Genomic DNA, 15,933 nt, shown 5'->3' with positions numbered 1-15,933 from the left:
TTAAAACCATACTGCAATATCACTACCCATGTATTAGAATGACTAAAATTAAAAAGATGCTGTCATACAAAGTGTTAGTAAGAAAGTGGAGCAACTGAAAGTCTCATACACTGCTAGTGGGACAGTGAAATCATAGAACCACTTTGTAAACAGTTTGCCATTTGCTTACAAAATTTATCTATGAGAAATAGAAAGCCTGTGTCCATCCACAAAGACTTACTATACATGAATGTTCATAGCGGATTTTAAAATAATACCCTATTAACCAGAAGCTGAGTTGTTTCTACCAATGGGTCAATGTTGCAGTAACAAGCCCAAAACACTGGTAATTTATGAATAACAAATACTTATTTCTTGCTTACACAATGTCCATTATGGGTCACTGTGGCTCTGCACTCCAGATTCTGGAGATGACCCAGGAGACTGCCTGGCAGAATCACTCAATGGCTCTTAATTTTTTTGGCTCAGAAATGGATTACATTGCTTCCCTTGTATTTCATTGTTCAAAGCAAAGCACGTGCTCAAGCCTCACAGTGTTGGGATATGAAGGATAATCTTTTGAAGAGAGAGGCTCAGTGAGGATGAACAGCTAAGAGGGTAGCAAATATTTTGACAAATATGACCTACCACAGGACTAGACTCTTCTCTTGCCTAGTTTGAGACATTTTTATATTGTATTCTACCTGGATTCCTTCTATCTTACCCCAAAAATGACTGGATCACTGTGAATGTGCTGTCAGACATCAACAAAGAAGAAGGGCTCTTCATTAAAATAAATCAAAGGTCTAACCCAGTGGAACCTCTGGTGCCCTGGAACTTTATTTAGAGAATCCCAAATTTGCAGGAAGAATACAGTTCCCCTTTAGATTCAGATGTAGAAGACTCCAGAGTGAATATGATCAAGTTAAAATGCTCTTTTACTTACAAGTCAGTACTTCCAAGAAGTAAGAACTTTCTAGAATAATGCTGGTACTATAGTTGCTGCATTGCATCTGCACTCTGGCTGACCTTAGGCCACCAGGGCCTGCCAAGTCCTGTACTGCGTGGGCCCTCCTGATTTCTGGAGGCAGTTATGATTTCTACCACCTGCTTGACCCAAACCAGAACTTGCTATGAATATAAACATTTTGAAAAATCTACTAAATGAAAGATACCTTTTGGACTCCAAGAATTTATCAGAAGAAGGCGGAAAAAAGGTGTGCAGCCAAGTTATGCTTTTCACAAAATGAGCAGTTACATAAAGACAGGAAGACATTTTTATTTATTACAACGATTTATTTAACTAGGTCATTGAGCTGAAATATTTTAGTTATGCAATACTCACCTTTAATGAAAATAATAATAGTCAGCTCCCAGTGGTGCATTCTTCTAGGTTCTCTTTGCACTTTGCTCTTTTCACTGCTAAAGCTGTACCCAATGTCCTGCCACGCAAATACACCATCCTCTAGGCAAATCTGGTGTATAGACGTTTACTCATAGATTATTTACAAGTCTGTGCTTGCCCCTAACCCCCCTTTCATCTCCCCATAATAGACGTATCCTCTTAGGAACAAGACCTATATTTTACTCTGGGTTCCCAGCTCCTAGCACATACTTTTAAGGTATTCAATAAGTATACGAGGAATAATTTATTTCATGTTGTAAATACTGCTTATCAGTACCACATAAAATGAGGTATTTTATTTAGAAAAAATGTTTCCTAATCTCCGTTTGTCTTCTTAACATGCCACTGCTGAGATTAAACAGAACTGTAAACCTTTGCCATGTTATATTTTTCATAAAATAAGCTATCAATTAAATGTTTATCTCTATGCCAGCACTGTCCAGGATAAAGTCATTAAATCTAGAAAATTTAAGTGGATTCAATGAATTCCTCTATTTGAAGTCTTACTATGTTTAATAGCAAAACAAAATAGTTACCTAATGCAGTTCAATACACTTTGATATGATGTTATGATGAAGAAACATGAAAATTCTAAAAATGCCCATTTGTTGATTACAGAGCAATTAAGTTTTAAATGATTCGAATGAGTCTAGGAATGTAAATCTTAACCATTGCAGAAGTGAATTAAACATGTTTAGAGAAATCTCAATTAGTCAAAAAAGGTAAGGTAGATTATTCTAAGCACTTCAGGTCATTTCACGCATGAGTCTTTAAGTAAGAGGCAGCCCTGGTTATATTCAGGGGTTTGATGTTTCCATATTCGATATTGTTAGCTGGGTTTCCCAGAAGCAGAGGCTGAGATGAAAATAATTGTCCCATGATTTATTAAGGGAATGCATTTAGGGGAAACCTGTAAGGGAGTGAGAGATGTAGGATGGGGCAGAGGAAGGAGCTGGCAAAGATTTGGCATCTAGATGAGCTTGATCCCTGTGGAGTTCCCTGTTGAGCCCTGTGGTAAGGTAGAATAATCTACCTTACCTTTTTTGACTAATTGTGATTTCTCTAAACATGTTTAATTCACTTCTGCAATGGTTAAGATTTACATTCCTAGACTCACTTGAATCATTTAAAACTTAATTGCTCTGTAATCAACAAATGGGCATTTTTAGAATTTTCATGTTTCTTCATCATAACAACATATCAAAATGTATTGAACTGCATTAGGTAACTATTTTGTTTTGCTATTAAACATAGTAAGACTTCGAATAGAGGAATTCATTGAATCCATGTAAACTTTCTAGATTTAATGACTTTATCCTGGACAGTGCTGGCATAGATCCCACATCCCACCTAGAGGCAAGGGAGCTGCACGTTTACACCCTCATACGAGTCAGTCATTGCCTGTGTGCCACCCCTGGGAGGAATGCAACATAATGTACTCGGCATCTCAAGGGCTGGGTGCACCAGCCTCGGTAAAAAGGATATGGATAAGACACTCAACACATCTACTATTAAAAATACTCCACCTTTTTCAGGCAGACCTCTAAAGTGGGCTGTTATGAATAATTTCATTGCACCACCGCCCCTTTATCGAAACAGATCTGGAGTAGCTGTAGAACTTTTCTGAGGAGCTGAAGAACAGATCAGACTGAGAAGTTTCACATATCCCCACCCTCTCTGACTGAAGCCAATTAAGAAAGACTCAATGCCTCTTTTGGTGTTGAAGAATCCCAGCCACTCCAGGAGAAGTAGAGGACAGCTAATCTGCCACTACAAAACTCCATGATGGAGTTCTTGAAAACCCTTCTACACTTGAGCAATCACCACAGATGATTGTTGCAAAGCAAATGCTGGTCACCTGGATGAATCCCAGTATAAGAGAATTTGGTGTCTTTCTATGTCCCTGAGAAGCACTGCTACAGGTGTCACTGGGAAACCTCCACTTCATACTTCCAGAAAGCCAACCAAGTATGGCCAAAATAGTATCCAAAGGAAACATTATATTGTGATTCACTATTTTGCAAATTCTAGGATTTAGTCACAAAACTATTCCAATATGTCTTGCAGAAGTATTTTACTCAAGTGTAAAAAAATGTGAACAAGGAAAAAATAACCTGAGAATAGCAAGGAGTCTATCTCTGATTCTATCTTATTACAGGATAAACCTTTGAATTTACACACATAGACACACACATATACACACAAACTCACACTGCTTACATTTTGTAATACAAAAAGAAAATAGAAACAATTTGTGAACATAAAGCAGTTGAAACATTCACTTTTCTGTCAAAATGTTGATTGCTGCATTTCCAATCACGTTCATTTCTATGGTGGAGTTCTGAAGCCTTATGCCACCTGCAACCTGCCTGGATTATTATTCAATGTTGTATTTCCTTTATTCACATCAGAAACACAAAAGTGTTTAGAAGCCTCTTTGATAGATAATGTCAACAAACAAATACAGCTTGTCATTTACATCCTTGCAAGATTGTCAGTGACCCTTAAGAAAATATTTTGGAGGCCGGGCGCGGTGGCTCACGCCTGTAATCCCAGCACTTTGGGAGGCCGAGGCGGGTGGATCATGAGGTCAGGAGATCGAGACCATCCTGGCTAACAAGGTGAAACCCCGTCTCTACTAAAAATACAAAAAATTAGCCGGGCGCGGTGGCGGGCGCCTGTAGTCCCAGCTACTCGGGAGGCTGAGGCAGGAGAATGGCGTGAACCCGGGAAGCGGAGCTTGCAGTGAGCCGAGATTGCGCCACTGCAGTCCGCAGTCCGGCCTGGGCGACAGAGCGAGACTCCGTCTAAAAAAAAAAAAAAAAAAAAAAAAAATATTTTGGAATAAAAGCAGCTGAGAGAAAAACATTTAATGCATTTAATACATGGCTGATATTTTATCTTTCTGAATCTGAAAAAAGCTTTTTCCAACTTGAAAGTCTAAAAAGGGAAAAGTAACCATGGCATGTGACAAATTAGTACATCTGAACGGGTTAGAATGAAAGATATATGAGAAATTCAATTGACTAGAGTTTGCCTTTTTATCTGCTTTATCCCCTTGTATCTCAGTGTATCCCTCTGATATGGTTTGGCTATGTCCCCACCCAAATCTCATCTAGATTGTAGTTCCCATAATCCCCATGTGTCATGGGAGGGACCCCGTGGAGGTAATTGGATCATGGGGGCGGTTACCACCATGCTGCTGTTCTCATGATAGTAAGTTCATTGAGGTCTGATGGTTTTATAAGGGGCTTTTCCCCCCACTCATTCTTCTCCTTCCTGTTATCATGTGAAGAAGGATGTGTTTACTTCCCCTTCCACCACGATTGTAAGTTTCCTGAGGCCTCTCCAGCCCTGTGGAACTGTGAGTCAATTAAACTGCTTTCCTTTATAAATTACCTAGTCTCAGGCAGTTGTTTATAGCAGCGTGAGAACAGACTAATACACCCTCCAAGATTGAGGGAGGGTTTCCATACCTCTGTAGACCCCAAATCTCTGATTTAGGAGTAAAGTCCAAGCATGTAGATTTTTAATGCTTTCCCTATGTGATGGAAACATATATCACACATTTCCCTGTGTGAGTGCATGCCAACATTAGAATTGCTCCTATTAGCAGAATAAGCCCTAGGCTCTGCCACTAATTTGCTGTGCTCATTCATGCCCAAGTTCACCAGATGAGGTCCTCTAGTCTGAGATTCTGTGCCCAGTCATTAATGTTGTTTCTCAGAACTTGCCTTGAAAGTGCCTGGCACATAATGAACTTTTATATGACTAATGAACCTATATAATAGCATTAACATCACTAAACCCTGATCCTTAATGAACATCTGCCATGTATAGGGACCTTCTTCTGTCCTAAGAATAAGAAGACATATTTAAATACATTATCTTTTCTGCCTTTAGGCAGCTTACAATTGATTTGAAGAGTTAAAGTTAATCATCAGCACGAGAACAAGGGAAACTCTGGAAAAAAATAGATAACTTATTAAATATCTCTTTTGTTTGTTTGTTTTCCAGAGCTTATAAAAAACCCAATGGAGACAAATGAGTTTTGTGAAGGATTGGCTGTGGAGTATACATCTACTCCCTTAATCTAAGTTCTATGTTTGGATGAACTTCATCTAATAGAACCCTCCAGATTTGGACCACAATAAGAGTATCTCCTGTACAAAGTTCTGTTTGACAGTTTTCTCACTGTACCAGCTCAGTACCCACTGGATGGGGTTCCTGGCAATACAAGTCTATTATAATTAAGTGCTGGTTTTCAAATTATTATTCCCTGGGGAGCAGTGGTAAGCATCTGCCTTTCTAATTTCTCTCTCTTCATTTTGAGTTCTAGAAAGCTTCAGGCCACATAGCAAGTTCCTAAGAACATGTACTCACTTTAAACTACTTAGAAAGTGTCACCTGGTACCCACATGCACAACTGGGGGATATAGCAGTGAGCAAACTCTCCTGGAGTTTCTATTTGAATTGGGGTAGACAGACAACAATACTTACACATGGAAGTGAACAAGAAACAACTTGATTTTGATAAATGATCTGAAGAAAAGAAAGCAAAAGGAGATGACACAAGGGGACTATAAGGATAGTTCAGACAAGGTGGTCAAGGAGAGCATCTCTGGAAGAGTGATATCTCAAAAGAGACACATGACAAGAAAGAAGAAGCTAGCAGGCCGGTGGCTCATGCCTGTAATCCCAGCACTTCGGGAGGATCACTTGAGGTCAGGAGTTCGAGAACAGCCTGACCAACACGGTGAAACCCTGTCTCTACTAAAAATGAAAAAATTATCTGGGCATGGTGAGGGGGCGCCTGTAGTCCCAGCTACTTGGGAGGCTGAGGCAGGAGAACACTTGAACCCAGGAGGTGGAGGTTGCTGTAAGCCAAGATCACACCACTGCATTCCAGCCTGGACGACAGAGGGAGACTCCATTTAAAAAAAAAAAAAAAGAAGAAGAAGAAGCAGCAGCTAGCAAAAGATCTGAGAAGGTGGCCGGGTGTAGTGGCTCATGCCTATAATCCCAGCACTTTGGGAGGCCAAGGTGGGCAGATCACTTGAGGTTGGGAGTTCGAGACCAGCCTGACCAACATGGAGAAACCCTGTCTCTACTAAAAATACAAAATTAGCTGGGCATGGTGGCGCATGCCTATGATCCCAGCTACTCGGGAGGCTGAGGCAGAAGAATTGTTTGAACCCGTGAGGCTGAGGTTGTGGTGAGCCAAGATCGTGCCATTATGGTCTAGCCTGGGCAACAAGAGCAAAATTCCTTCTCAAAAAGTAAAACAAAACCAAAGATCTAAGGAAGCAACGGGTCCAAGAATAGGGAACAACAGGTCCAAAGGCCCTGAGGTATGAGCCAGCTTAGCTGCTATGTGTGTGCATTTGTGTTTTGTTTTCCTTGTTCTTAATTTTCTAATTTATTTCTATTTTAGAGTACCAACATTTATTTTATCATTATTTTACTGCCTATATACTTTGTGTCCATTGTCTTCGATCCATTATGAAATGAAGCAAGCCAGTTTAAAGATCAAATGGTTTTAACAGGATACTAGTCTTCATTTGCAGCTCTGTAGCATTCTGCAACATTTTTTTTAATCTAGAAGAATTTAAATTAATTATATATGTGGCCAGAATTACGCAGCATTGTTCTAACCTTAACTCAAATCAAATGTCCCGAAGTTATCTATAAGTTTAGATATTAGCTCAATATTTTTAACTAGGAAGATCTCCCCAAAAAACTGTCTGTTCAAGTACTTATGGCTTCAGGCAGAGAAGGGCTCTTCAGGCAAATTACTTGGCCAACATTTAGAAGGACATTGTTAAACAATGTCAACTATAAAAGTGTGTTCCATACAGTGATTTCTGAGGACCGACTTCATATAACTAATGTTAACTGTAAATATTTGATTTAAATAATTGAAGCTGATATGTCAGCATGTGATTAATGGAATGATGAAACTAGACCTGCATTTATAAGGTATGTGGGAGTGCCACCTTTAGAAAAAGGTAGAACAGCTAAGCCCATCCCAGTCAATCACACTTAGGAAGGGTCTTCTCTAGAGGGCACATTGCACCATTGTTAGGACAAAACAGAAGACTCAGGTTTTGTCTTAAGGTGCTTACAATAGAATTAGAGAGAGAATATGTTTTTATTTATTTGAGATTAATGTTTATTAGATAGAAATAAATGGCTGTTTTGGAGAATTGTGCTCTTAAATAGTGAGCTGGTTAATTAACCAGGGCTATGGCCTTCTCCTTTTTGATTATTTCCATCGATCGAGAGAACAATGTCAAGATTTCAGGCACTTGGAGAGAAAAATGTCTCCCACATTTTTTCCCACCATCATTTCCTTACCTCTAAATAACTATCCCACTTCAGCAGAGGGCATTTAGAAAAAGAGGTTAAAAAAAAAAAATGAAGGACTGCCTGCCCTGCTTACATTTGCCAAATATCTCTTTGCCATCCATAATACCCTCACATTCTGTGACTTTTTGATTGTGTTTTGAGCATAAGTTTTCAAAATCTACTTTATTACACACAGTCTCACTCCACTTGGCAAGCAGTCTGGATTTCTATATTTTTCCAATCTATAAAATTGCGTCCTTTGTAATTAAATTGCCTTTTATTTTTCTGAGTGAAAATGAGAACTGCATGTAGCATTTTCCAAAATGGAACACATTTTCCCATAATTGGGACTCTTTGGCATTCACTGGAAAATTAAATAATTTTAGAAATATTGCTATTAGTACTTTCAATAAAGAGGGGACTATAGAATGTTATACAAATAGATCTTTAAAGAAATATCCTTTTATGCACTGCTATAGGTAAATGGACATACTAATTTGTGAAGCTGTACAAAAGATACACATTTTATCCTGGGAATACAAAACCACAGTTTTAAAAATAATTTCTGGCTGGGCACGGTGGCTCACACCTATAATCCCACCACTTTGGGAGGCCGAGGTGAGTGGATCACAAGATCAAGAGATCTAGACCATCCTGCCCAACGTGGTGAAACCCCGTCTCTACTAAAAATACAAAAATTAGTTGGACGTGCTGGTATGTGCCTGTAATCTCAGTTACTTGGGAGGCTGAGGTAGGAGAATGGCTTGAACCCGAGAGGCAGAGGTTGCAGTGAGCCGAGATCACGCCACTTCACTCCAGCCTGGCGACAGAGCGAGACTCCCTCTCAAAAAAAAAAAAAAAAAAAAAAAAAAAAAATTCCTTCAAGCACAAAATAAATTGAACTATAGAGAAACATATGTTTTATTAAACTATAAATACATGGCATACTAAAATAATTCTTCAAGCTGCGAATGTTCATGAAAATTCACATCACTATTAAGTGATTATTTTATTCGAATCCTGAAAGTTATCATGATACTTAATTTTGCCTTTGTCATAGGAGAGAGATATTCAAGTAGATTTCAACTCCAGCTTGGGGAAAAAAAAAATCATGACTCACAGAAAACATCGACTTTCAACTGCTTTCATCAGCTGTGAATTTCAGATCAAAAAACCAATTCAAATGATTTATAAGTTCAGTGCTTACTCCATGATGGTCAGCATTATATTATTCAGGTGAAGGACAGAGAAGGACAGAGAAGGCACATAAACTCTAGTTGGGGGAGAACAATTACTATACAAAAGAATTCCCCCCCAAAATGGTAATTAAGGACTATTATAGGTAAGCTAGCCTACAATTAATTTTGAGAAAATTTACAAAAAATGAACTAAAATATACAGCCAAGGCAGAACAAGCTTAAAATGTTTATTAAGCATTCTGTTTGGCAAAACTACATGCAACCACCAACCAGTAAAAACTGAAATTCCTAATACTCTGCAGAGCAAGTAGCCAACTTAATAATCATTTACAAATAGAAGATATAACAGGTATTAAATATCAATATTCCTAGAAAAAGCCCCTTCAAAGTAAAATATATGTATCAGAAGTCATCCAAACAATTCACAATAATTAGTATTATCAAATTAGTGCTATTTAACTAGTACTAGTTTTGCTCGTTAGCAGTTCTATCAGAAGGCACTCAAGGCACTTTGAAAGAAAATATCTGAAGTTTTTTTTGTCTGCCTGGTAATGACATATTATAAAAAATTTATTACTAAAAGTGAATATACTACAATTTAACTTTTTAAATGAAAATGTATTTTACATGTTTCTTTTTCTTTTTTGGGAGGGTGGGGGGTAGGGGGATTAAGTCTTGCTCTGTCTACTCCAAGCTGGAGTGCAGTGGTGCGCTCTTGGCTCACTGCAACCTTTGCCTCCCCGATTCAACTTATTCTCTGGCCCCAGCCTCCCCAGTACGTGGGACTACAGGTACGCACCACCACGCCCAGCTAATTTTTGTATTTTTGGTAAAGACCAGGTTTCGCCATATTGGCCAGGCTTGTCTCCAACTCCTGAGCTCAGGTGATCAGCCCGCCTCAGCCTCCCAAAGTGCTGGGCATGAGCCACAGCGCCTGGCCAAAATTTGTCTATATTCAATAGTAAACTTTCAGTTTCAGTTGCCCAAACTGAGAGGTAGTTTTGTAAGTCTGCTTATAACACCATGTAGCTGAGCTTCAAGTTCAGTCCACACTGCAGTTCTCAAGCTGTGTGCTACTCTATTCTTCAGAAGGCTCCCTTAGTCCAGCCTCTGTCAGATCCTGGGGGAGCATCTGGATAGTACCTGGAGGACTTGACAGGAAACCCACCCTTCTATGGCAATCATCAACAGTTACAGAGCCCTCCTCATTGGTGACACAGAACACACCCAAAGGCTGTAATCTGGCTACACTAGGCAAACTAGCTAAAAATTGCAGGCAGATTGGAGAGAACTTATTCAGGTATAAATATGCCTTTCTCAGTGACGCTCTTCAGAACATCTCCTTCCCACTTCTCCTCCCCCCAGTTTCAGGACCTGACATATTTTTTCAATGCTTCAAGTTTGCTTCCTATCCCTTTTCTCATTCCTTGAACACTGGGTGTTAACCAAATCTGTTGTTTTTCTCTCCATTTTGTGGTGGTGGATATGAGCTTAATCATAATCCGGATTTTATTCTCTGTTCAGCTTGGGGATTGGACAGGGACCCCTGGCTCGCCACCCACTCAGGCACCAAGTCATGCTTGCAGAATCTTCTGGTAACTGCCTGACCCTGCTAACCTGGAAAACCATGTTCTAATGCTGCACCTTTAAATCTCTGAAGTAATCTGAACTATTACCTGGCGACCCTAGAGATGGAGAAGTCTCCTGGCCTAGCCAATTTCTCCTTTATTTCTCAGCTACTGTCCCACTACTGAGAAAACCTTTAGAAACCGATACCTAGATAGTTCACCATCACTATTACATGTAGTGCTCAGCTCAAGGAAATCCCATACCTAGAAATCCCAGAACTAAGACATGACTGCATGGAACGTGCTTTGTGCATATAGATTTGTGTTATGCTACAGGTTGGGTTCTGATCTTCATATCCTTTTCATTTCGAAATCGTCAACTACCTAAAAGATATTTTTCTCATAGTAAAGGGCAGAAATGCAAGAGAAGGAGTCATACCACACAAGCACATGTAAAGTCATTACATCCACTAACATTTGACTAGCTAAAGCAAGTCACAGGGCCAAGTCAATGCAGTAGATTGTCAACTCCACTTACACTCATGGCAAAGATGGAAAGCAAAAGAATTGTGAATAAATAACACCATCTATCACCAATGCTAGGGACATAAAAGTGAGTAATATAGATGGCTAAGTTGTAAAGGAGCCTGCGGTCTATTAAGAATTGTGACTCTGTAATGTTTCCTGTTAGTGGAAGCAAAGATATAGCATACAACCATTTTCCTCACAAAACTTTCCATTGTCAGTTAATAGACATAGATCTTGCAGTATTAAAGCTCATATAGAATGAAACTTATTTCATGTAAGCTAATGTTTTATAATTTCCTGTCAGGTTTAAAAATATTGTATCTTCTGAAATGTATTTCAGCATTATCTTATTGCTGAGAATGCACTGCATTTATCTTTAGGTTACTCATTCTATAATAAAAATAAAATATTTACATAAAAATGTACACTTTGATGGCTTGCACCTATTCTATAATGCTATAATTTGTTACCAATTAGCATTCTACAGCAGGTGACATAAAACAAATAAACAAGCAAAGTTGATAATAAAAAATAAGACATTAAACAAATATGTAAATTATAGTGCATATAATTCTACATTATTTTGAATATGTGCACTTCTTATTAATATTATTACTCCATAATAGAGAATACTCATGCCAGTTTGCCACAATGAAGAATTAATGACAACGAAAATTTCACATAGTAATTATCTAAAGAATTAGGCTTAACAGCCAGACTGTAAAACTGACTTATAAGCCATGTAAACCAAGCTTTTTACATGTATAATGAATGAAGTTTACATCAAAGTAATTTTGAGCATTTTTAATCTATGAAAAGAGCCTGCTTAACATAGCAGTTTTTAGATCATTAGTAGCAGAAAATTTTTTTCAGAATTGATATTTCATAAAACCTTTAACTTTACATTTTGAAGTTAGCAAAAATTACAAAAAAGCACCACAATCTATAATTTTGAGGAAAAAATAATGAAAATTTTAACTATTTAAAATATGCTTGTTTTCAAAGCTACCTTCCTTAATTAGAATAAGAAGAATTTCTACAGTTTCCCCAACATACATGAAATTCTATGCCCAAAATTAAAAATGCAAAACATAAAATAGTGCTGCATGTTTAAGGGTAAGCTCTCATTATTATTTGTTTCCTGTCATCTGTGTGTTATTTATATATGTATATTTATATATTTTGCTTTTGTTGAAGCTGTTTTCTCTCAATGGAATGTCCACATCTTAAATCTACTCAAGTTCTGTTGGCTCTGTGAAGCCTAAATTCAAAATGACACCTCCCTTCACTAATTTTTTTTTTCTGCTCAGTCTGTCTGTGTTCCATTATTAAACTCCCATGTTATGCTTTTTCAATATTTCATAACTTAATAACACACGAGTTGTGTATACTATTTGCAAGTTAAATACATGCATCTCCAACAAGTGCCATGAAACTAACCTTTTGCGGTTGTCACCATAATCCTTAGCATGATGCTAGGCACAAAATAGTTTCTCAACAAATACTTGATCTTTCACTCCTTTACTTGAGTTTCAGCCAGTGATAAAGAATGCTACCACTGCAAATTAACAAAACTGTGAGCACAGCTCTCCCTATGAATAATCTATTCCTGTTTTGAATTATTGATTAAATTTCCTTCAGATAAATTTTACTCAATAGATTTAAAGCCAGAAACAAGCAGGGAGGACTTTCTGGGAGAAAGTCAACCAAAACCCATGACAAAGAGGAGAGATAGATGGAACAGTCTATGTAAAGCACTAAGATGTGGTTTGGATGTGTGTCCCATCCAAACGTTAAGCCGAAATGTTATTCCCAGTATTGGAGATGGGGCCTAGTGGGAGCTGCTTGGATTATGGGTGCAAATCTTTCATGACTGTCTTGGCGCCATCGCCCTGGTGATGAGTGAGTTCTTGCACAATTAGTTCATGCGAGAGCTGGTTCTTTAAATGAGCCTGGCACATCCTCCCCACTCCTTTGCTTCCTCTCTTGCTATGTGACACACCTGCTCCCTATTCGCCTTCTGCCATGAGTGAAAGCTTCCTGAGGCTTCACCAGATGCTGGTGCCAAGCTTGTACAGCCTGCAGAACCACGAACTAAATAAACCTCTTTTCTTTCTAAATTACTAAATTTCTAAATTTCAGATATTCTTTTACAACAAAGCAAAAATGGGCTAATACACACTAGTTACATGGAAGTTGATACATTTTTGGTGTTCTCTCCTTATTATTTTATACTATTTCAGATGCCTCAGGAAGGATATAATCAATGTAACCACCATTGGATGGGTTCTTATGTCTGCCCGTCTTCCTTTGGTCCTAATACCTGGCAGACATCCAAACGATTAGATAGGAAAGGAGACTTTTAATACCTTACAATTAAGTTGCTGCGGCAACTCTACAGCTTTGCCTCCCAGTTAGCAACATCTCTCAAAATTGAACATGCGTTGGAATTGCTTGGGGATCTTTTCAAGCTGTACTTCAGTAGATCTGGAGGGGCCTGCGATTCTGTATGGCTCATAAGCTTGCAGGTGCTGCTGGTCTAGAGACTACTCATTAGATTCATGCCCAGAGATTCTGATTTAGTTGGTCTGGGGTGGATCTTAAATGTCTGTACTCTTTGGAACCCGCTGAGTAATCCTCAAGTACAGCCTGATTTCAGAAAAACTACAATGGACCATCAGTTTCCTGAAAAAAATCCTTTTCCTACAGCTGGTGTTTGAATAATCCATCATGGTAAGGAAATAGTGTGACTGCAGAATCTTTGATCAATGGCCTATATGATGGGGTGGGAGCCTCCTTTCCATCATTTTAAGCTTCTGGTGATATGTAAACATATAGCTTCCTCATCATTTTGAACATCACACACACAAAAAAGCCATCCTAATACAAGTGAAGATAAGATATTCCAAGGCCCGTCTATTCAGAGTGCTCCAAGGATGCTGTATCCACCTTCTCTAAGATCTTTTAAGAAAAGGAAAATTTCAATCCCTATCCCAGACTCACTGAGTCAAAATTTATATTTTTAATAAGATTTTAAGGTGATTTGTGTGCTCATTAAAATTGGAGAAGGCTCTAATGAAGAAATTCTCTTGCATGTTTTCAAAAGCTTTATATTAAAATATTTGATAAAAGGATAGTTTTAATATAGTATCTGAAGCACTTAAGGAAATTAACTTTAGCATCCAGCCAGAATGAATAATATGAGTAGAATATTAGATTCTTTTTGTTTTGTTTTAGCGAGGTAAAATTTAGGTTACACCAAGGAGCAAAGTACATATTCTTCAAGGTGATCAACAGCTTTGCTGTGTGAGATCATGCTTCATCAAGTCAGCTGTGCCAAATCAGGCTGACACACTTGACACACTTGACACACTTGAACAAGAAGGAAGTGACTGATCTGTGGTTTCTTCAGGATTGAGGTACAGAATCCATTGCAACACTTTTACTTCTCCTCTTTATTCCTTCCTACCATCATTTTGTGTCTTTGTGAACTCCTGTAAGCTGCTCTACTAGGTCTCCCAGGAAACATTCTTGCAAAAGTGACCACCAGTAGCCGTGGGGGCCAAGACACAGTGTTTTGGTTGGTGCCGGAAATGACTGTAATAGCCTTAAACTCCACATTTAAGAGCACAGAGCAATGACATCTGCATCCCTGGAGTCTGTTAGAAATGCAGAATCTCAGGTCCCACACCAGACCTGCGTCAGAATTGGCATTTTAACAAGATAGGAAGCAGTGGTGTATGACAGTGTGTTAGATACTGTCTTTGTAGAGTTGTAGAGAAGCAGCCATGTGCATGATTGGAAGTTATGGAAATAGTAATACAAAATAGCATATACTCTTTACCAGTTATCCTAGTATTAATCACAGAAGTGTGCTATCACTTTCTACCTTGCATTGATTATCCTATTGTTTTTCTTTACTTCATACAAACATTGTTCCTATACAAGATATTGGCTATATCTAAGATGTTATATATCTACCAAATAGTCCATGTGAAGTGAAATCCTTTACATACACCAATTATCTGAAAAAAAGTGTGCAAGTGTCTGAAAGATGTTGTTGGTTTTAAAAAGACAAGGTGTAGAAAAAAGTTACATTTGTGTTTCAACTTCATGTTACCAGCTGTGTGACTCCGAACACAGGCTGAACTCCTCTGTGCCTCAGTTACCTTGTTTGTAAAATTAGAATAGTTATACCTCACTTTCTGGTTTGTTGCAAGGACATCTCTGTCTTTTTTTCCCACTTATTTTTTTGAGACAGGGTCTTGCTGTGTTGCCCAGGTTGGTCTCCAACCCACAGGCTCAAGCAATCCTGCCACCTCAACCTCCTGAGTAGCTGGGATTACAGGCATGCACCACTGCTCTCGGCTGCCAGGGTATCTCCTGATCTTCATTATGTCTTCAGTAGCACAGAGTAAGCCTCCACCACCCAAAATGGCTTTTGAACAAATGAATAAAGTGTATTTTAAAAAACCTTACTGGCATATCTTGGGTACCACATAACATAAATGTCTCCCTTATCTTAATGATTGAACATTTTTCATGTAAGATCTTTGATTGAAAATATACAATCCCATTATAAATTCATGCACTCAATGATTTCTCCTTGCCAAATATACTAAAGAGTGTGTGTGTGTGTCTGTGTGTGTGTGTGTGTGTGTGTCTGTGTGTGTGATCTTGTTTTTTGACTAGTGTATATTGTTACTAGATATCTGGAAGCTTTGGTCTGAATTACTCAATGTTTAATCATACCTGGCGAACTTCAGGTGAAAGCAGCAGAATATTATGGAATGAGGAGGGTGAAGAATTTTATCACTGAAGTGAAGATAATAAAATCATCAATTGTGGTCACACTTAGATCTCTTAAAATTCTTAATGGGCAATGTACTTCCCCATTCTCTGAACC

The 15,933-nt window shown here is 38.4% G+C and overlaps 1 protein-coding gene and 1 long non-coding RNA gene across 3 annotated transcripts in view; both read right to left on the bottom strand.

Annotated features, from left to right (window-relative positions):
- PLCB1 (phospholipase C beta 1) overlaps positions 1 to 15,933 on the bottom strand; it is a 752,635-nt gene that overhangs the window by 394,200 nt on the left and 342,502 nt on the right. The gene's annotated exons all lie outside the window — the stretch shown is intronic.
- LOC124900459 (uncharacterized) overlaps positions 1 to 15,933 on the bottom strand; it is a 112,238-nt gene that overhangs the window by 21,805 nt on the left and 74,500 nt on the right. The window contains exon 2 of the long non-coding RNA XR_007067518.1: positions 1 to 15,933. This exon is cut by the window's left edge and continues 21,805 nt beyond it; it is cut by the window's right edge and continues 52,426 nt beyond it. This is a non-coding gene — a long non-coding RNA (uncharacterized LOC124900459).

This window comes from Homo sapiens, chromosome 20 (assembly GCF_000001405.40).
Source record: "Homo sapiens chromosome 20, GRCh38.p14 Primary Assembly".
Classification (NCBI taxonomy): domain Eukaryota; kingdom Metazoa; phylum Chordata; class Mammalia; order Primates; family Hominidae; genus Homo; species Homo sapiens.
The sequence above is the reverse complement of the archived record's forward strand: the minus strand, read 5'-3'. Positions and strand labels throughout refer to the sequence as shown.